The sequence below is a fragment of the Homo sapiens genome, chromosome 12, assembly GCF_000001405.40.
Source record: "Homo sapiens chromosome 12, GRCh38.p14 Primary Assembly".
In the NCBI taxonomy this organism is placed as follows: domain Eukaryota; kingdom Metazoa; phylum Chordata; class Mammalia; order Primates; family Hominidae; genus Homo; species Homo sapiens.
Genome location: NC_000012.12, coordinates 20,807,388 through 20,830,234, shown reverse-complemented (window position 1 = coordinate 20,830,234; position 22,847 = coordinate 20,807,388). Strand labels below are relative to the sequence as shown.

Sequence of the window (22,847 nt, the reverse complement as noted above, 5' to 3'; positions counted from 1 at the left end):
GTGACCAAGGGAAGGACTCTTAGTGGAGATGGCCCTAACCTTTCACAAGGCTCTTACGGGCGCCAGGTGCAAGCTTGAGCTATCTTCATTGCTCACACTGTCAGAGGCATGTGAACCAGAGCAACTCCATCTTGAATAGAGGCTGGATAAAATGAGGCTGAAACCTACTGGGCTGCAGTCCCCGACAATTAAGGCATTCTAAGTCACAGGATGAGACAGAAGTTCAGCACAAAATATAGGTCACAAAGACCTTGCTGATAAAACAGGTTGCAGTAAAGGAGCTGGCCAAAACCCACCAAAACCAAATGGCCACAGAGTGACTTCTGGTCATCCTCACTGCTACACTCCCACCAGCGCCATGACAGTTTATAAATGCCATGGCCACATCAGCAAGTTACCCTATACGGTCTACAAAGGGGAGGCATGAATAATCCACCCCTTGTTTAGCATATCATCAAGAAATAACCATAAAAATGGGTAACCAGCAGCCCTCGGGGCTGCTCTCTCTATGGAATAGCTATTCTTTTATTCCTTTACTTTCTTAATAAACTTGCTTTAACTTTTCACTGTGGACTTGCCCTGAATTCCTTCTTGAGCAAGATCCAAGAACCCTCTCTTGTGGTCTGGATTGGGACCCCTTTCCTGTAACAAAACCAATTGCACATTTTGCCAAGGTCAGGGGGCTCCCACTGCAGAGAGAATGCCTGATCTCTCAAAATTTGGTTAAGATCTAAGATTTATTTTGTTGTGCAACACCTTTTCTGGAGTTTCACTTGCTTCAAACAAAGAAGGGGAGTTTTCCTGCTCCATGATGATGAAGGAGACCAACAACTCCTTTCTGAAGTTTCAGCCCACTTCCCGCAGGGAAGGTGAGTTTGAGTTTTCCCTGCTTCTAGGATGGTAGAGAGCAGTGTTCAGCCTGGGCCCCATTCCTAGGCAGTAGCTGAATTGTAGTTTTTGTCTTGGAAATTCTCCTTAATTACTAAAAGTTAAGATTAGCAACTAGCTGGCCTTAATTTCTCCGTACGATTAGATCACTCAGCGATCCTATAAATTGTACAATTGTCTGTTTGTTTGACTTAACTGGTTTTTGTTTGTTTGTTTTTGTTGTTTCAGTCTTTTTCCCGTTAGGTTTGACCAACTCTACTCAACATGGTCAAAGCCAAAGAAAAGTTCCAAATTATGGGGAAAAAGGCTACTGAGTTGATTAAATTCCTGCCTCTGTAAAAGGAAAGAAAAATTAAAAAACAACCAGCAAAAGGAAAAAATTACCTGAGGGGCTTTTATGTACATAACAGGGCCATTTATTCCTAGCCAAGCCAAGAGGACAGAGCAATGGTAGTTACCCCATGCTGTAGTTCAGTAGCTAAGATTCTGCCCTTTTTTCACCATGACAGCCTGGGTTTGGTTCCTAAATCCAATCTTTTCTGGGTTGATAGTTGTGTTACTTTTGAAATATCAGCAGTTTGTCACAGCTAAAATATGGTAATGAAATTTAAAAGGATGTATTTAGTTCCATGGTTAAAAATCAGCTTAATTAAAAGCTAATATCCAAGATGTGTGTGTGAGTGTGTGTGTGTGTGTGTGTATGTGTGTGTGTGCCTTTATGCTTTCTTTCTCTCCTAGGATCTTGTTTTTTGAGAAAAAGTTCTTTTTTCTTCTCAGTTGGCTGAGAAGAAACAGCTCAGTTGACTGTTTCATTCATTTACTTCTACATGTCTTTCCTTCTTCTTGCCACCCTCCACTGTGTGAGGGACCTAAAATCATTTCTAACAGCCTGGGATTCCTTAAGAAAATACAGGTTTCCTCCCAGACTCCTTTTTGGGGAGAAATCTCTGTTTTTCCTTATGGAACCCCAAGAGTGCAATCAGACAAGTTTCTCAGTTCTTAATGCCTGTTTTTGTATTGTGTTACCTTTTTTTTTTTTTTTTTACTAAAATAGTTCTTACAACAGGTGCTATTCATGGGTGTTTAAGATACAAAAGGGTGTGGTTTAGACACTTAGAGAAATGTCTTTGTAGCCAAGTGCACCGTAAAAGCATTACATGTCCTAGTCTCATGAATCTCTTTCCTTTTGGAGACCTAGGATTCAGTGGAGCTTTGTGCAAAGAGCTCAGAGATCCAATTAAAAGATAGAGACTAAATTTAAAACTACCTATCTAAATAAAATTGGTCTTCTATACAATCATAAGGTAGATTTCTACAATTTCATGTTTGACTTGGTATCCATTTTTAATCTCCCTCTAGCACACCACTCTCTCTCTGTACCTTGAGATGTAAATTTTGCTATCTGATTTTCACCTAAGAGTTGTTCCTTTAGTATGCAAATTTAGGGCTATCTAGTTAAACAGGTCATAAGAAATTGGAGCTTGTGCACCGTGGCTCACACCTGTAATCTCAGCACTTTGGAAGGCCAAGGCGGGCGGATCATGAGGTCAGGAGTTCGAGAGCAGCCTGGCCAATATGGTAAACCCTGTCTCTACAAAAATACAAAAATTAGATTGGCATGGTGGCATGTGCCTGCAGTCCCAGCTACTCGGGAGGCTGCGGCAGAAGAATCGCTTGAACCCAGGAGATACAGATTGCAGTGAACTGAGATCATGCCACTGCACTCCAGCCCGGGCAACGGAGTGAGACTCTGTCTCAAAAAGAAAAAAAAAAGAAATTGGAAGTCTGAAATATCTAAATTGGAAGTCTAAAATATCTAAAATATGAATCTTTAAGATCTACTTTTATCTTCATGACTAATAAGTCTACGTATTTATGTGTCATGTACGTTTCACTACTAAAAATATATAAAGGAGCTGTAATTAATTGGATTTACAAAAGCATTTAAATCAAATACTTTATCAGAAAAACAGAAGACAGAAAAGCCCAAATGCTTTTTCAAGTTCATGTGACTTAAGAAAATCCTTAATAAATAAGTGTGTTTTAATTGCTGGTAAAATAAAATTAGAAATGTCTTTAGAATTGTCAATTCACATTATTGTTTAGATTTCTTGATCAAGCAGTTTAATATTTATCCCTGCTAAATATTATAAGGTGTCCAAATTTGGCATGAGGGTTATAAAGCTTATAACCCAAAACATGGTCATCTTTGTGTAATTTTTGTAAAAATAATGCATTGAAAATTGTTGGCTTAATAAAACAGCTAACTTTTGAGTTATTGGCAAAACAACAACAAGAAAAAAGTTATTTAACCTTAAGGTTCTTAGGTAAACATCTGAAATCACAGGCTATAAAAATGATTAACAGACAAATAACTTTAAATGATGACCATTTATAATCTAAAGTTATGTTACATTAAGTATCTGGGTTATTTCCAATTTAAAAAAATATAGGGAGACATTTTTCTAAAAAATATGTTCTTATTTAAAGGAAAATAATTTTTGTCTAATACAAAGGCTAAAGTTTATGAAACAAAGTGAAAGAAACTAGTATATAAGAGAGATACACAGAAAGTTGTAGGTATAAAGAGGTATTTTTGGTAAGAAAAGCTGAAGGGAAAATAATTTTATATGAGAAAGAATCTTGTGTGATTAATTTTTTTTTTCTAAAATGACTGGTTATTTAAGAAAGAGGTACCTTTAGGATAACACAGAAAGTCCAAGCATATCATACATGATTTGTATAAATTGTAATAAGGTTTGTAAGAAGAGGATTTATGAGTAAAAAAAAAAGTGATCAAGTTTGCTATAATTAAAGGGAAATTATTTATAATAGTCATTCCAGAGATTGAGACTTGATATTAAAAAAGAATTAATTCACTAAAGAATTGGTTAGAACAACATTTTCTTAAGGTATTGATTCACTCTTAATAAAATTACAAGAGATTTTAATTTTTTAACCCAAAAGTTCAACTTTTATTGTGTCCCACTGCTTTCAGCTTTCTCTTCCCTTTGAGAAGGATTGAGATAATAACTTTCTCCTTCAACTTTGTCAATAGCTTCTGTAATTTTTTTCCCTCAGGTTCTGCTATTGTGGCCTGACATTATAAAAAAAAAGTTTTACCTTAAAGGTCTAAATAAAATGTTTTCTTCTAACATAACCCTCTGTGCTCTTGGCTTTAATTGTTCTATGAAACCAAGAATTTTCATTTATCACCCGGAACACACTCTTTCTATATCTAACTAATTCAAGTACGGTTTACATTAGTTTTGATTGCATGTTATTTAAATGTACTCCTCATAGGAAAAAGCAAACATAATATAGAAGATCTTTTTTATTCTTTTTGTTAACTTGTCTAACAGATTTTACATTTATCAAAATAATTCGTTATTCTTATTAAGTTTTTATTTGCTTAGAAAAATTGAGATTTACAGATTTTAAAAATTAAGGTTATCATGTCCATTTTACTTTCTGTGTTGCTTTTAAAGTCCTAATTCTATTAAGTTTTCATGGTTTTTCTTCTTTCTTTCTTTTTTTTTTTTTTTTTTGAGACAGAGTCTTGCTCTGTCACCCAGGCTGGAGTGCAGTGCCACAATCTCGACTCACTGCAATCTCTGCCTCCCAAATCCAAGCAATTCTCCTGTCTTAGCTTTCTGAGCAGCTGGGATTACAGGCGCACACCACCACATCTGGCTAATTTTTGTATATTTATTAATAGAGTCTGGGTTTCACCATGTTGGCCAGGCTGGTCTTGAAGTCCAGACCTCAAGTGATCTGCCCGCCTTGGCCTCCCAAAGTACCTGGATTACAAGAATGAGCCACCGTGGCCAGCCTATTCTGTTAAATTAAAGGGCTTTTACTTCTGGGTCTAAAAAGCACACCAAGTCCTGCTAAATCTTAAACCGTAACACCAGTCAAACCCTCATCTTCAGACCCAGGAAAAGATGATAATCAAAATAAACTGCATTCATGAGACACAGTGCCAGAAATTAAAACTGCTGAACCCCTCTAATCCCAGGGACTGTCACAGAAGACATGCGTCTGTGAAATTATAAGGGCCAATTTTGAGAGATAAACTTAGTTCAGAGTTTCCATATAAATTACACATTAATATTATAGTTTGATGAAAGACCAGCATCAGGACCCCTGCGTTAGATAAACAAGGTTCTTATAGCATTAACCCACTTTTTAATTTAAAAAAACATTAAAAGGTTATTTAAAGGTTTATGGAAATTATAGCTTATGGTCAAAATGATTAAAATTTAATAGATTTGTTTATAAGATTTGAGAGACAGATTTAATTGGCCTCATGCAGTCTCTCTTAGGGCTCATTGTTTGGGAAATTAAGTCTCCTCTCTCAAAAAATAAAGATTTTTGCCTTTTTTAAAAAAACTTTGAGTTATCACTTTGACTAAATGAATGATTTCTTTTACAATGACCTATGAGCCTATATTATCATATTAAGTATTTTAAACTTCTGACATTTGACAGACTTTCCAAAATTAAATTGTAAAATTAGTACTTTGACTTCATATATTTATTAATAATAGGTCACCGGAAGTCCAAAAGAGACATATTTGACTTATTTGGTATAGTAAAGTCACACAGGAAGCACTGTCAAATAAACAATGACATTTAACCTTCTTTGGATTATATTATATTTATGTGAATGTGTTATTATTATGTGTTTCAAAAATATATGCAATTCCTGTGATTCTAATATGTCTTAGTAGATGTTGTCAGTAGTAATTATGATTATTATGGAAAATTGCTGTATGCCACAGAAGAAACCAAATTTACTTGTCAATGGTGTCTTTAACCATGGCTGTTCTAAGATTTTTGTCATTCACAATTGTTGTTTTACTTTAATCCTTTTATAGGACAGTTTGTAATCTGCTATTGAACTCTGAGGAGTACTCCTAAAAAATAAGTTTTTGATAAATTTAGATATAGCATCATTGGAATAGATAGGAAAATGTCCAGGCCTTTCATGGAGAGCTCATGTATTAATAAGTCTTGCTGATCCAATATTGAGCAGAACATGGAGTTAATTGCATGGACCAAACTAATAGAAGACTGAAATAATCTTGTATAAGATTTTGTTTAAAACATTTGCTGATTGGTTTTATTTTTCAGAGTCAAGAAAACTTTCCTTTTAAGCTATTTACAGCTTTAACAATTTAATAAAGTGAATTTAGTAAATTCACTAAAATTTGTTCTTATGAGCAAAATTAAAAATATAATTCCTTTCTCTCAACCTAATTTCTCCAAAATTTGAAAACTATTTTGAGAGTATTCTCAATTTATGGCAATATAATTATTTGCATAAGTTTAATAAGAATATATTTTCTTTTATCACAGGACGTAATTCGAGACACTCGTTATTTTACTAAGTCCTTGACTGGAATGACATTTTCCGATTGCCTTGAGAAAAGGAGGCTGACCTACAGAGCCAATAGAAGCCCCTTGGAAAAACTAGCCCCATATCTTATCCTTTACAGGGTCATGACCTGTGGTAAGTAAAGAATGTCACTTTTTGACTGGTCCAGGAACTCCAAGCTTTCTTAAGACCTCAGAAAGAGAAGAATTCACCCAATTCACATATGTATCTGCAGGCACAGATAAATCCTTGGCTAGGCTTCAGGCATTCACAAACGTCTAATCTTACATTCGTAGTGCAAAAAGATCCAGCAAAGCCAATTCACAAAAAGAGAGAGAGCTCCTATATGGCAAATGATTATTCTTGTTGCACTTTATACAAATAATTAAACCAAGTGTAAAAGTACTAAAATTTATTTTACCAATAAATTGGTCCTACTATGATTTTCTGTTTAATAAAACTGGGGAATTGAAGAGAGAAAAATTATGCTTCTATAAATTATAGTACCTGTTGTTTGATTCTAGTCTTGCCTAAGGTTTATCAGTTTTTATTATTTTCTACAATATGAAATAAAGTCTAAAATTTTTCCTGACTACAAGTCTCCAAATAATGTTTTCAATTTTTTCTTTCTTTTCTCCTTTCCTTTCATTTTCCTTTTCCCCCTATTGTCCAATTTGAAATTACTAAATATTAAGCTGTGATTTTCTTAAGCCATGGGGATGCAAACTAGACAACTTAAACTTCAGAAGAAAATAACAGAAACCGATTTATACACACGAAACATTTTCATATGTGCCTACTGACAACACACTTCAGAGTGATATGGCCTATATCAGTTTTCCAGGATTGTTCCTTCTACTGTGTGTTTGTCTCTCTTCCTCCTCCTATTTTTTTCTTTGCAGGACATAAGATTTCACAACCTGCTAAAAATGAGCATTCCTAATAACGTGGGATCTATTGGTCTAGGAATAAAACATCACAGCCATGCGAGATCAGACAAAATTCAAGACCAGGGAGTAATTTTCTTCTAAAATGCTTTCTTCAAAAGATTTTAAAAGGAAAAAGGCAGGGGTATGAAAGGAAAATAAAAACTTGAGACCCCAATTCACTATGACATAAGAAACAAAATTAAGCTAAAAGCTGAGTTCTGCAAAAAGATGCCCTTCCTTAAGCAGATAGCTACAGATAAAAGGTTAAATATTTCCACAGGTAGCTAGTCTATGTTCACCTTATATTGTGTAAAGTGCCGATTTACTGAGCACAAGACAAATAAATAACTGACCATTCCCTTACCTGCTAGTTTTTCTCTTGCAACATGTAGATTCAGTAACGTGGCCATACATTGCCACTGTCAGGTCTCTGAGCCCAAGCCAAGCCATCCCATCCCCTGTGACTTGCACGTATACGCCGAGATGGCCTGAAGTAACTGAAGAATCACAAAAGAAGTGAAAGGCCCTGCCCCGCCTTAACTGATGACATTCCACCATTGTGATTTGTTCCTGCCCCACCTTAACTGAGTGACTAACCCTTTGAATTTCCTTCTCCTGGCTCAGAAGCTCCCCCACCGAGCACCTTGTGACCCCCGCCCCTGCCCACCAGAGAACAACCCCCTTTGACTGTAATTTTCCTTTACCTTCCCAAATCCTATAAAACGGCCCCACCCTTATCTCCCTTCACTGACTCTCTTTTCGGACTCAGCCCAACCGCATCCAGGTGAAATAAACAGCTTTATTGCTCACACAAAGCCTGTTTGGTGGTCTCTTCACATGGACACACATGAAATTTGGTGCCGTGACTTGGATCGGGGGACCTCCCTTGGGAGATCAATCCCCCGTCCTCCTGCTCTTTGCTCCGTGAGAAAGATCCATCTACGACCTCAGGTCCTCAGACCGACCAGCCCAAGAAACATCTCACCAATTTCAAATCCGGTAAGCGGCCTCTTTTTACTCTCTTCTCCAACTTCCTTCACTATCCCTCAACCTCTTTCTCCTTTCAATCTTGACACCACACTTCAATCTCTCCCTTCTCTTAATTTCAATTCCTTTCATTTTCGGATAGAGACAAAGGAGACATGTTTTATCCGTGGACCCAAAACTCCGGTGCCGGTCACGGACTGGGAAGGCAGCCTTCCCTTGGTGTTTAATCATTGCAGGGATGCCTCTCTGATTATTCACCCACATTTCAAAGGTGTCAGACCACGCAGGGATGCCTGCCTTGGTCCTTCACCCTTAGCCGCAAGTCCCGCTTTTCTGGGGGAGGGGCAAGTACCCCAACCCCTTCTCTCCATGTCTCTACCCCTTCTCTGCTTTTCTGGGGGAGGGGCAAGTACCCCTCAACCCCTTCTCCTTCACCCTTAGTGGCAAGTCCCGCTTTTCTAGGGGGCAAGAACCCCCAATCCCTTATTTCCGTGCCCCAACCCTTTCTCTGCTTTTCTGGAGGGCAAGAAACCCCCATCACTTCTCCGTGTCTCTACTCTTTTCTCTGGGCTTGCCTCCTTCACTATGGACTAGCTTCCACCTTCCATTCCTCCTTCTTCTCCCTTAGCCTGTATTCTTAAGAACTTAAAACCTCTTCAACTCTCACCTGACCTAAAATCTAAGCGTCTTTTTTCTTCTGCAATGCCGCTTGACCCCAGTACAAACTCGACAGTAGTTACAAATTGCCAGAAAAACGGCACTTTCAATTTTTCCATCCTACAAGACCTAAATAATTCTTGTCGTAAAACGGGCAAATGGTCTGAGGTGCCTGATGTCCAGGCATTCTTTTACACATCAGTCCCTTCCTAGTCTCTGCCCAATGCAATTCATCCCAAATCTTCCTTCTTTCCCTCCCGCCTGTCCCCTCAGGCCCAACCCCAAGCGTCGCTGAGTCTTTCTAATCTTCCTTTTCTACAGACCCATCTGACCTCTCCCCTCCTCGCCAGGCCGAGCTAGTTCCCAATTCTTCCTCAGCCTCTGCTCCTCCACCCTATAAACTTTTTATCGCCTCCCCTCCTCACACCTGATCCGGCTTACAGTTTTGTTCCATGACTACCCCTCCCCCACCTGCCCAGCAATTTACTCTTAAAAAGGTGGCTGGAGCCAAAGGCATAGTCAAGGTTAATGCTCCTTTTTCTTTATCCCAAATCAGAAGCGTTTAGGCTCTTTTTCATCAAATATAAAAACCCAGCCCAGTTCATGGCTCATTCGGCAGCAACCCTGAGATGCTTTACAGCCCTAGACCCTAAAAGGTCAAAAGGCCATCTTATTCTCAATATACATTTTATTACCCAATCTGCTCCTGACATTAAATAAAACTCCAAAAATTGGAATCTGGCCCTCAAACCCCATAACAGGACTTAATTAACCTCACTTTCAAGGTGTACAGTAATAAAACAAAGTTGCAATTCCTTGCCTCCACTGTGAGACAAACCCCAGCCACATCTCCAGCACACAAGAACTTCCAAACGCCTGAACCTCAGTGGCCAGGCATTCCTCCAGAACCTCCTCCCCCAGGAGCTTGCTACAAGTGCCAGAAATCTGACCACCAGGCCAAGTAATGCCCGCAGCCCAGGATTCCTCCTAAGCCGTGTCCCATCTGTGTGGGACCCCAGTGGAAATCGGACTGTTCAACTCACCTGGCAGCCACTCCCAGAGCCCCTGGAACTCTGGCCCAAGGCTCTCTGACTGACTCCTTCTTGGCGTAGCGGCTGAAGACTGATGCTGCCTGATCACCTCAGAAGCCCCATAGACCATCACGGACGCCGAGCTTTAGGTAACTCTCACAGTGGAGGGTAAGTCCGTCCCCTTCTTAATCAATATGGAGGCTACCCACTCCACATTACCTTCTTTTCAAGGGCCTGTTTCCCTTGCCTCCATAACTGTTGTGGGTATTGACAGCCAGGCTTCTAAACCTCTTAAAACTCCCCAACTCTGGTGCCAACTTAGACAATACTCTTTTATGCACTCTTTTTTAGTTATCCCCACCTGCCCAGTTCCCTTATTAGGCCGAGATATTTTAACCAAATTATCTGCTTCCCTGACTATTCCTGGACTACAGCCGCATCTCATTGCTGCCCTTCTTCCCAATCCAAAGCCTCCTTTGCATCCTCTTCTTGTATTCCCCCACCTTAACCCACAAGTATAAGATACCTCTACTCCCTCCTTGGTGACCGATCATGCACCCCTTATCATCTCATTAAAACCTAATCACCCTTACCCCGCTCAGTGCCAATATCCCATTACAGCATGCTTTGAAAGGATTAAAGCCTGTTATCACTCGCCTGCTACAGCATGGCCTTTTAAAGCCTATAAACTCTCCTTACAATTCCCCCATTTTACCTGTCCTAAAACCAGACAAGCCTTACAAGTTAGCTCAGGATCTATGCCTTATCAACCAAATTATTTTGCCTATCCACCTCATGGTACCAAACCCATATACTCTACTATCCTCAATACCTCCCTCCACAATCCATTATTCTGTTCTGGATCTCAAACATGCTTTCTTTACTATTCTTTTGCACCAGTCATCCAAGCCTCTCTTCGCTTTCACTTGGACTGACCCTGACACCCATCAGGCTCAGCAAATTACCTGGGCTGCACTGCCACAAGGCTTCACAGACAGACCCCATTACTTCAGTCAAGCGCAAATTTCATCCTCATCTGTTACCTATCTCGGCATAATTCTCGTAAAAACACACATGCTCTCCCTGATGATCGTGTCCGATTAATCTCCCAAACCTCAATCCCTTACAAAACAACAACTCCTTTCCTTCCTAGGCATGGTTAATGTGGTCAGAATTCTTACACAAGAGCCAGGACCGCACCCTGTAGCCTTTCTGTCCAAACAACTTGACCTTACTGTTTTAGCCTAGCCCTCATGTCCGCGTGCAGCGGCTGCCGCTGCTTTAGTACTTTTAGAGGCCCTCAAAATCACAAACTATGCTCAACTCACTCTCTACATTTCTCATAACTTCCAAAATCTATTTTCTTCCTCATACCTGACGCATATACTTTCTGCTCCCTGGCTCCTTCAGCTGTACTCACTCTTTGTTAAGTCCCACAATTACCATTGTTCCTGGCCCGGACTTCAATCCAGCCTCCCACATTATTCCAGACACCACACCTGACCCTCATGACTGCATCTCTCTGATCCACCTGATGTTCATCCCATTTCCCCACATTTCCTTCGTCCCTGTTTCTCACCCTGATCACGCTTGATTTATTGATGGCAGTTCCACCAGGCCTAATCACCACACACCAGCAAAGGCAGGCTATGCTATAGTACAAGCCACTAGCCCGCCTCTTAGAACCTTTCATTTCCTTTCCATCGTAGAAATCTATCCTCAAGGAAATAACTTCTTAGTGTTCCATCTGCTATTCCATCTGCTACTCCTCAAGGATTATTCAGGCCCCTTCCCTACACAACAAGCTCGAGGATTTGCCCCCACCCAGGACTGGCAAATTAGCTTTACTCAACATACCCCGAGTCCCAAAAACTAAAATACCTCTTTGTCTAAGTAGACACTTTCACTAGATAGGTAGAGGCCTTTCCTATAGGGTCTGAGAAGGCCACTGCAGTCATTTCTTCCCTTCTGTCAGACATAATTCCTCAGTTTAGCCTTCCCACCTCTATACAGTCTGATAAAAGACCAGCCCTTATTAGTCAAATCAGTCAAGCATTTTTTTAGGCTCTTAGTATCCAGTGACAAACTAATAGTCTATTAAAAACACACCTCACCAAGCTCAGCCACCAACTTAAAAAGGACTGGACACTACTTTTACCACTTTCCCTTCTCAGAAGTCAGACCTGTCCTCAGAATGCTACAAGGTACAGCCCATTTAAGCTCCTGTATAGACGCTCCTTTTTATTAGGCCCCAGTCTCATTCCAGACACCAGACCAACTTAGACTGTGCCCCAAAAAAACTTTTCATCCCTACTATCTTCTGTCTAGTCATACTCCTATTCACCGTTCTCAACTACTCATACATGCCCTGCTCTTGTTTACACTGCTGGTTTACACCGTTTCTCCAAGCCATCACAGCTGATATCTCCTGGTGCTATCCCCAAACTGCCACTCTAGAAGAGTGACTACAGAGTGGCCAGGCACGGTGGCTCAAGCTGTAATCCCAGCACTTTCGGAGGCCGAGGCAGGCGGATCACGAGGTCAGGAGATCGAGACCATCCTGGCTAACATGGTGAAACCTCATCTCTACTACAAATAAAAAAAAAAATTAGCTGGGTGTGGTGGCGGGTGCCTGTAGTCCCAGCTACTCAGGAGGCTGAGGCAGGATAATGGCATGAACCCAGCAGGTGGAGCTTGCAGTGAGCCGAGATCATGCCACTGCACTCCAGCCTGGGTGACAGAGCGAGACTCCATCTCAAAAAAAAATTATACTATAGAGTTATAGTAACCAAAACAGCATGGTACTGGCATATAAACAGACACATAGACCAATGAATCAGAATAGAGAACCCAGAAACAAATCCACACACCTACAGTGAGCTTATTCTTGACAAAGGTGCCAGGAACATTCAATGGGGAAAAGACAGTCACTTCAATAAATGGTGCTAGGATGAAACTAGACCCCTATTTCTAGCCATATACAAAAACAAATCAAAATGAACTAAAGACTTAAATCTAAAGACCTCAACCCATAAAACTACCTCAATAAAATATTGGGGAAACTCTCCAGGACGTTCATCTGGGCAAAAATTTCTTGAGCAAATTTCTTACCCCAGAAACACAGGCAACCAAAGAAAAATTGACAAACAGGATCACATCTAGTTAAAATGTTTCTGCATAGAAAAGGATACAATCAACAAAGTGAAGAGACAACCCACAGAGTAGGAGAAAATATTTGTAAACTACCCATCTGTCAAGGAATTAATCACCAGAATGTCTAAGTAGATCAAACAATTCTATAGGACCAAATCTAATAATCCGATCAAAAGGTAGGCAAAATATTTGAATATACATTTCTCAAAAGAAGACATACAAATAGCACACAGGCATAGGAAGAAGTGCTCAACATCAGTGATCATCAGAGAAATGCAAATCAATACTACAATGAGATGCTATCTCACCCCCAGTTAAAATGGCTTATATCCCAAAGACAGGCAATAACAAATGCTGGTGAGGTTGTGGAGTAAAAGGAATTCCTTGTACACTGTTGGTAGCAATAAAAATTAGTAGGACCACTATGAAGAACAGTCTGGAGGTTCCTCAAGGAACTAAAAATTGAGCTACCACGTGATCCAGCAATCCCACTGCTGGGTATATACCCAAAAGAAAGCGAATTCGTATATCTAAGATTATCTGTACTTCCATGTTTGTTGCAGCACTGTTTACAATAACTAAGATATGGAAGCAATGTAAGTGTGCATCAGCAGATGAATGCGTAAAAAAAAGTGGGACATATACACAATGGAGTACTATTCAGCTATAGAAAGAATGAAATCTAGTCATTTGCAACAAAATGAACTGGAGATCATTATGTTAACTGAAATAATCCAGGCACAGAAAGACAAACATTGCATGTTCTCAGTTATTTGTGGGATCTAAACATCAAAACAATTGAATTCATGGACACAGTGAGTAGAAGGATGGTTACCAGAGGCTGGAAAGGGTCATGGGGGTGTGGGGGTAGGAAGATGGGGATGATTTATGGGTACAAAAAATAGTTAAAAAGAATGAATAAGACCTACTATTTGATAGCCCACAGGGTGACTATAGTCAATTACTTAACTGTACCTTTTAAAATAAAGTATAATTGGATGGTGTGCAACTCAATGAAAAAATGCTTGAGGAAATGGATGCCGCATTGTTCATTATTTGCTTATTTCACATTGCATGCCTGTACCAAATCATCTCATGTACCCCATAAACATACATACCTACTACATACCCACAAAAATTAAAAATTAAAAAGTTAAAAATAAATAAACCTTTATTCATCAAAAAATTCTAGCAAAGAAATAACTTCAATCAGATTAAAAACTGATTTAAATCAATATAGGGATTATTTTGTTAATATTTTAATGTACGCTTCAATGGAAAAATTGTAATATGAGATATAATGTTCTTTTTGACAGTTAGTGGCCTTTCTATACATAAAAATTTTCCATTAACTTATTTTAGTTTGAAAATATAAAACCCATTCTACCTTGAATCCATTGCAGCGTCTTGTTTTCTTTTTCTCTGAAGATGCTGACTCTGCTGTTTTATTCAAATGTTGATGTTGGTCCATTATTAAACTACAGATACCAAGTGAATATTTTTAATTGTTGCTGATGCTTGGTTTGAAATGATCACCTGTTAAAAAAGAAAAAGTATAATTTATTTTACTTTAACAATATACAATTTAAAAATAGGAAAAGCCACAAGCTCAATATCAATCAATCAATCATTCTCTAATATTCATTCAGGGCCTGCTATTTCCTGACCACAGGACTAGGTCAATGCTGGACACAGAGGAGGAAAGACAGAGACAAACTCCTAGCCTAAAGAGATTATAATTTGCTTAGAAAAATAATTTTCATAGAGAGAAATTTGAAACAAGTAAATAATATAAAACCACACACTAGATTGTATGAACAACAATTTTAAATTATAGAAATTAAAATTTTTATATTTTCTACATATCCAGATTACAAGATTTATGAAAGGAAATTTATGTTTACGTTATCCTTATAAGTTTATAAAGTGCCAAATGATGACTTGCACATAGTGGATACTCAAAATGGGTTGAAAAATAATGTAAATAATAATGATTAGGATAGCCTCAGTCAGTTTCATAGAGGAGATGCCTATGGAACAAGGCTCAAAAAGCAGATAAAGTTTGGATTTGTTTAAAAGAGCAAAATATATTCCAAGTATCTCTCAGAGAGACTCTGGCCATGCTTGACCTTACCATCATCATGATCTTACTGTATTTAGGGTTTATCCACTTATTTTTCAAGAGAAAATACATGCATGTAGTTGAAAAATGCAAAAAAAAAAAAAAAGAAAAGAAAAGAAAAGGCAAGATTCTGCTTATAACCTTTGTCCCCTTATCCAGAAATCTGGTATGCTTTTTTATTTTTTTTTTTTGAGACGGAGTCTTGCTCTGTCTCCCGGGCTGGAGGGCAGTAGCGTGATCTCGGCTCACTGTAAGCTCTGCCTCCCAGGTTCACGCCATTCTCCTGCCTCAGCCTCCTGAGTAGCTGGGACCACAGGCGCAGGTGCGTGCCACAACGCCCGGCTAATTGTTTTGTATTTTTAGTAGAGACAGGGTTTCACCGTGTTAGCCAGCATGGTCTCGATCTCCTGACCTCCTGATCCGCCCGCCTCGGCCTCCCAAAGTGCTGGGATTACAGGCGTGAACCACCGCGCCCAGCCTTAATATGCATTTTTAATTAAATACATAATATTTTCTCTTTTAATATAAATGTAAGCATACCAGTATTACTGCACTCTACCTTTTTATCTTCTGTATATACTTTATATTAATAAAAGTCCTCATTTTGCTTATGGTAGCAGGGTATTCTGTTGTTCATAATATATGTAACTAGTTCTATATCGTTAACTATTTAGCTTATATCTAATTATTTCATATTAGAAAATGTTCTTAATATGTTATATGTCATTTTCTGTGTGGTCATATCTGTAGGATAAATTCCTACAAGTGAAGTTTTGAAGTCAAAGTATATGAGAAATCATAAGTTTCAGAGTTATTAAGCCCCTATTTTAAAGACCAGTAAAATGAGTCAACTTTTTACGTCAGTTGACTCTTTTATATAGAACAGTGGAATATTTATAAGGTTTAGAGATGTATTCTTGTTCATACATATATGCATAACACATATTTATGTATATAAAGTATATAAGCAGACACATAACATAGATATAGGTATATGTTATGTATATAGCATATATATGTGGATACATGCTATGTAGATACTTGCTATGTAGCTGCTCATATAGATACCTTAGATATGTAAATATCTAAGTATGTAAATATCAATGTTATCTATATAAGCATCCGATTTGTAATAGGATACTGATTATATAATATGTATGATATAGGTTATATGTACAATTGATTCTCACGTTTTGCAATAATTATGTTCCATAAAGTTGCTGGGAACACTGAATTTGCAAATATTAATCCATCATTCCTAGAAGAGATACAGTGTTAGGTGACTGTGTGGCTTTGGTCACAATATTTTAATCAACGGATCAATACATAACTTAATACATAATGTTTTATGTATGTTTTTGTTTAAAGACACCTTAGTATATACTGTTGATTCATTAACATTGAATTAGTGGCCAATAGCACTGTAGTTCATGCCTGAGGGAAACTTACATAGCATATGTACCTCTTCTGTCAGGCCCTCTAGGAGGTGGGAACAACGGGACAACACTTCAGGGCTATGCTTGAAGTCCATTTAAAACAGTAAACTCAGCATCGCAAAGCACAACTATGGAAACAATGTGGCGATAAATGCACTGTGAAGTTTATAGTATGGGAGCTGAGAGAGGAAGGCAGAGCTTCACTTTGTTCCACTTCAACTGGAAACAGAGCAACTCAAATTTTTCACCACTCTGCTCATGCATGCCAATGATCACAAAAGCCCAGCAGTATTAATTTTGGTGTCACAAACAAATTTTAGTGTTTAGACAAATTTTCTAATATAGAATCTGTGAATAATGAAGATCTACTGCATATTTTATGCATTAATTTACTCAACAAGGATTTATTGATTCTCTATATTATAAATGCATAAAAACCATAAATATATATCATGCATATTTAGTGGATAATGCATGAATATGGAAAAATCAATATCTGAAGATATTATCACTTATGTATATGCGAGTGTATATAAATACACTCATGAATGGAGAAACCCATACCTATGTATCTCTAAGAGAAGTTCAATTATTCCACTTTTTGTATGTGTTTTGTAGGTAAAGTGAGGAAAAAAATCAATAATTTGGTGGTCTCAAGGTAATAAGCAGCCCCTTAATAAATTTACACCACTTTTTCCACGAATATCTCTGTTTCTTCATAATTTAAAAGTTGGAAAATATTTATTTTTTACCAATTAATTCTATAATTGCAAATCTTTTTGAACGACTTGCAAGGCAGATAGTCTTCCTTCAGCTTTAGAGTTTTCTTTTTCTTTATACTAAACAAATATTCTTGAAGGCTTGAAGACTATTATCTCACCACTCAAGCCTTGTTTCTTTCAATTGATTAATTTCTACTTGTCCTGTCTTCCAGCTTGCTTTCTTTCCTATGCATATCATGTCCATTCTTGGAATCATTCAAAGATCCCTCTTACAACAAAAATAAAACTTACACTTCCTATTTGAGGGTCTTCACAGCCTAAATGAATCCAAGTTTTTAGTCCCATTTCCCAATACAACCATAAGCACTTGCAGATGTATGGAACCACTGTCCCAACAGAAAAGCTCTCTACCTTCATGTATATGTCTTCCATTCCTGGAATGTCCTTCCCTATCTCTTGGCTGTAATGCGGCTCCAAATCACACCACTTTAATGTTTCCCTATTTACCTCTAGTTGAAATAAACTCTCTCATCCTCTCATCCTTCTGTACCACTGGAGAACATACCCGAATAATCATTACTTTTTTCTGTTATTTCCCGTACTTTCCAAGACAACTATTCCACACCTCTCTCTTTTATGTTCAGATAAAATACCCATCCAGAAAAATAAGAAATGTGGGCACTTGGTTTCTCATCTCTCAGAAAGGTTAAATTGTATCAAGTAGGCCGGGAGCAGTGACTCATGCCTGTAATCCCAGCACTTTGGGAGGCCGAGGCGGGCAGATCACCTGAGGTTGGGAGTTCGAGACCAGCCTGACCAACACAGAGAAACCCCATTTCTGCCAAAAATACAAAATTAGCTGGGTGTGGTGGTACATGCCTGTAATCTCAGCTACTCTGGAAGCTCAGGCAGGAGAATCACTTGAACCCAGGAGGCTGAGGTTGTGGTGAGCTGAAATCACGCCATTGCACTCCAGCCTGGGCAACAAGAGCGAAACTCCTTCTCAAAAAAAAAAAAAAAAAAATGTATCAAGTAAGTACAAAGTACCTACAAAACTTGAATATCAATTTAGCCTTGAATAAATACCACACTTTTTACTTCATTGTGGCATTTTAAGCCTTATTTAGAAGCGTTTAATATATTTTGCTCTGAACATATTATTTCTGAGTTCCAAATTATTGACATAAATAAATGTTGAGGACACAATATGTTTATAGACAGAGCCACAGGCATTTGTATGCAGCATTGCAACTCTTCCCTGAACAGAACAGGTCAGTTCTTCACAGTTTGATTGGGCTGAAGTAGAGGGCAGAATCTTACCAGCCTCTGCTTATTTCTGTTTAGCTTTTCATATTTAAGGGGTTATAGAAAACCAGTGCAGGCCAAGTGACCCAGTTTCTAGCATGTACCTATGGAACTGAGGAGGATAAAAGGGAAAACAGCATTTCCTAACTTCTTAGATTGTTCAGAGGAGAGAATTTCTGCATCCCCACCTTACTTTCACAATAAAAATAACTGTCTTATCAGGGAAGCCACCTTCCTGAATGGGTGAAGGGGACCATTATTTATTGAGCTGTTAATTCTTTCCAAGAGCTGTGCCCAGAAGATTTTTTTCTCTTATTTGAACAGAGATAAAAAAGTTATCTAGAAAATCTCTTTCCCCTCACCCTAAATCAAACGAGTTGAATGGAGGAAAGTGAGGTGATTAAGTGACTTTGAAACATATTTTCCACCCCTCCACCCGCCCACTCCTACTTATCCAGTTAAAGTGAAATCAAAGAAATAGGGAGCCTGGTATAGTAATTCAATACAGTTTATACAAATAATTATCTTATAGTATATTTTAAGAGAGTAACTAGAAGTCCATCCTTTCAGACTTCATGTTTCATTTGTTTAGAAAGCAATAGAAATAGGACTCCAAACTTTATTTTTCACTTTATAAAGGTATGATTTACTCTTATTTTTGAGTATATAAATCTGAGGCTCTTCTATTTCTAGAAGGGATATTTACAAGGCTTTAAGGGCTCAGAACAAAAGTGTGGAGAAGACACAGAGCATAAAATCTGTAATATTTATCATAACTACCAAAAACATTTTCACTGAAATTTGTTAAAATTTCTTACATAAAAGAAATGTTTTAATTAGACAACCTCGACGGTTCTTACCTTGACTTTGAATGCTACAGCAACTGCAACAAGTCCATCCTTTTTCTGATGTTAAAGTCTCACTTTAAATGGTTAGTTGGCTTTTTATTTGTTTGTTTTTATGAGTCCAATGATGATTAACCATCTTATTAGGTCATTGTCCTAGGCAAACAGAAAAAACATACCTAGCTAATTCTAGGAGTTCACCCCAGAAGCCTATCTTTTAAACATTTTATTAATAATTTCTCAGAATGTACACATTATGTTAACATTAGAAAATAAATTATTTCTGGGAATGATTTATTTCTTATTCAATTAAGTTGGTTGCATAAGATTTTCTTCTTTAGAAATACAAATACAACACATTATCCAAAGTATTTAAAACTATTCCAAATAGAAAATATGTCAAGGCGATTTTTTAAAATGTCCCTACATGTTACATTAGCATTCAAAAAATAAAACATACCCTCTTTGCTTGTTACATGTGTATGGATCTAATATGACGTACATGGACACTGGATATCTCACATGGAATACTAAATTGCCAATTAATTACAAGACTAGTCTTCTAAATGACAAAAATCAAGACTAGTTTGTATGATATATTCCTTACATCAATGTGTAAAGGAAGAATGATCTCCTTCTATTGACTTGCTCTTTAGAGAATGGAAGACCTTCACTCAGTTGAAACTTTTCTTGAGTAAGGATGAAGTCAAATTAATTAATTCAGTAACTCAAACATATTTGACTCCCTACTATATCTCAGGCACATGGCTGTGTTTTAGAAGTGTACTATAAAAATATAAATAATAAACGGAGTCTTCTCTCACATGTATATATACACACACATGCATGAGTGTATGTATATATGTATTTATGTGTATGTGTGTATGTATATAGCAAAGAGAGAATGCATGTATGAAAACATTGTTACCCCTTATCACTGACAGGACAGTTGTTGATACAGTTGCAGCAATATGTATTTAATTTCTATATCACAGTTATTTGATAAACTAGTTTTTTTTTTTTTTTTTGAGACGGAGTCTTGCTCTGTCACCCAGGCTGGAGTGCAGCGGCACGATCTCGGCTCACTGCAAGCTCCGCCTCCCGGGTTCACGCCATTCTCCTGCCTCAGTCTCCCGAGTAGCTGGCACTACAAGCGCCCGCCACCACGCCCGGCTAATTTTTTCGTATTTTTAGTAGAGACGGGGTTTCACCATGTTAGCCAGGATGGTCTCGATCTCCTGACCTCGTGATCTGCCCACCTCGGCCTCCCAAAGTGCTAGGATTACAGGCGTGAGCCACTGCGCCCAGCCTAGATTAGTTCTATACCTGGTTAATTCATGGAAGTATTAGAATAATGAAAGGAACCGGAGTGTGGAGGGAGAGAAGGATTAGAAAATGTGGGGAACACTGAAGTGTAGACCTGGGGCAGGGAAAATTAGATATAGGCTCCCAAACACCCCTCTGTTGAGTCAAAATCTACTGGGGAGCCTTTGTCAAAAGTGCGATCCAGCCCCACACCCAAGAGATTCTGATTCACGAGTTCGGAGATTATGCTTTTTAAATAAGCACTTAGAATAATTTTTACATACTGTCAGCTTTTGAGAACCATCATAGCAGAGATACTAAACATTAATTATCAGTTTTATGGCTTTTCTTTTATTCAGAATGGGAAGACAGTTTGGATATTCTCATGCTAATGGTTTTCTCCTCACACATCCATTTCATTCAAGACACATCAATTTCATTTGGGACAAATACATGCATAGAATGAAGATAAAATAGTACAAATGCACTGAGAAACTTTCTAATCCCTAAACTAACGCTATCAGTGGTAAAATTCTGGAATGTTTTCAGAAGTCAAAGAGCATTCTCTGTGCCCTTTTTTCTTCCTATGTAAGTAATTAGACTTCCCTTTTTGTGGGACTTGTGGAAAAAATAAGAGTGGTCAGAGGAAACACATTGCAACACTTTTTTTCAAGATAAATATTATGCTAACAGCTGTGGATCAATACAACTCCAAATTTGCTTAAAACAATCTGCTGTTTGTTGCCGCAATAATCATCACAGTTCTGATGAAATATTATGGGCTTTGAAGTTTGATAAACTTTGATACCAATGTCTCTGCTACTTGACAGCAGTATAAATTTCCTAAGTTGTTTCACCATTCTAAGTATCTATGCTTTCATCCATTAAGTGGGAAGGCTATAGTTGTAATAAAGATTTGCTCTGTGTAAACTGCCTCACCCAGTACCTGGCACATTATAGATTCCATACCTAAATAGAGTCATTGTATGGCATTTGCATATTGTCCATTTTTAAAGCAGTTAATTCATATTACAAGAGTAAAAGTCAAGTCTCTGAAACACGTCCCCAGCAATTTTTCCTAATAGTTTTTAGTCTGAGTTCTCAGATGGGTACTGGGTGCGTATTCCCAGAAGGAAACTTCAGGCTCAAAGCAGACCTGCCATTGCCTACCCACCCCACCTTCCTTAGCTGGTCAAGACGTAATTACAGAAAGCTGCACTCCCTGGAAAGAACCCCCATGTCTCCATACCCACTAAGGGTCAAAGCTCTGGTATCATTATGACTAATCTTATGGCAATTCTCTCTCTTAATGTCAGTCACCACCATAAGAAGGTAGGGGCAAGGCGCGGTGGCTCATACCTGTAATTCCAGCACTTTGGGAGGCCGAGGCAGGCGGATCACGAGGTCAGGAGATGGAGACCATCCTGGCTAACACGGTAAAACTCCCTCTCTACTAAAAATACAAAAAATTAGCTGGGCGTAGTGGTTAGAGGTGACAGCGTCCTGGCAGCCCTTGCTCCCTCTCCGCGGCACCTCCTCCGCCTTGGCGCCCACTCTGGCCGTGCTTGAGGAGCCCTTCAGCCCCCCTCTGCACTGTGGGAGCCCCTTTCTGGGCTGGCCGAGACCGGAGCCGGCTCCCTCAGCTTGCTGGAAGGTGTGGAGGGAGAGGCGCGGGCGGAACCCGGGCTGCGTGCGGCGCTTGCGAGCCAGCGCCAGTTCCCGGTGGGCGTGGGCTCGGCAAGCCCTGCACCCAGAGCGGCGGGCCGCGCCGGGCAGTGAGGGCCTTAGCACCTGGGCCAGCAGCTGCGGAAAGTGCGCCAGGTGTCCCAGCAGTGCCGGCCGGCCAGCGCTGCGCTGGAATTCTCGCCAGGCCTCAGCTGCCTCCCCCTGGGGCAGGGCTGGGGACCTGCAGCCTGCCATGCCTGAGCCTCCCCCTCTCCCCCTGCCGCCCCTCCTCCCCCCGCCGCCCCACACACGGCAACGCACCACGGGCTCCTGCGCCAGCTGGAGCCTGCCCGAGGAGCGCCGCCCCCTGCTCCAGGAGCACCTGGTCCCATAGACCGCCCAAGGGCTGAGGAGGGCGGGGC

At 39.1% G+C, this 22,847-nt stretch overlaps 2 protein-coding genes across 3 annotated transcripts in view, besides 1 other annotated feature; both read right to left on the bottom strand.

Moving 5' to 3' along the window:
* The window catches only part of SLCO1B3-SLCO1B7 (SLCO1B3-SLCO1B7 readthrough), a 275,549-nt gene extending 260,988 nt beyond the window's left edge, over positions 1-14,561 (bottom strand). Inside the window, exon 1 of the mRNA NM_001371097.1 lies at positions 14,413-14,561. Within this exon, the coding sequence (NP_001358026.1) occupies positions 14,413-14,496 (84 nt within the window). The 5' untranslated portion in view covers positions 14,497-14,561. The remainder of the gene's footprint in view (positions 1-14,412) is intronic.
* Positions 1-19,530, bottom strand: part of SLCO1B3 (solute carrier organic anion transporter family member 1B3) — a 106,207-nt gene extending 86,677 nt beyond the window's left edge. The window contains exons 1-3 of one of the 2 annotated variants that reach the window (NM_019844.4): positions 19,471-19,530; positions 16,597-16,711; positions 14,413-14,561 (exon numbers count right to left, since the gene is read on the bottom strand). In NM_019844.4, the coding sequence (NP_062818.1) occupies positions 14,413-14,496 (84 nt within the window). In that variant the 5' untranslated portion in view covers positions 14,497-14,561; positions 16,597-16,711; positions 19,471-19,530. Of the gene's footprint in view, positions 1-7,561; positions 7,688-14,412; positions 14,562-16,596; positions 16,712-19,470 lie in introns of those variants that run through there. The other variant, NM_001349920.2, reaches the window with a different exon arrangement.
* Positions 7,300-8,499: an enhancer, noted in NCBI's record as "P300/CBP strongly-dependent group 1 enhancer chr12:20974670-20975869 (GRCh37/hg19 assembly coordinates)". NCBI's record gives its function as "activates an origin of replication core promoter dependent on BRD2, BRD4, P300/CBP, MED14 and CDK7 cofactors, with strong dependence on P300/CBP, by STARR-seq in HCT116 cells {active_cell/tissue: HCT116}" and the evidence as "EXISTENCE:reporter gene assay evidence [ECO:0000049][PMID:35650434]".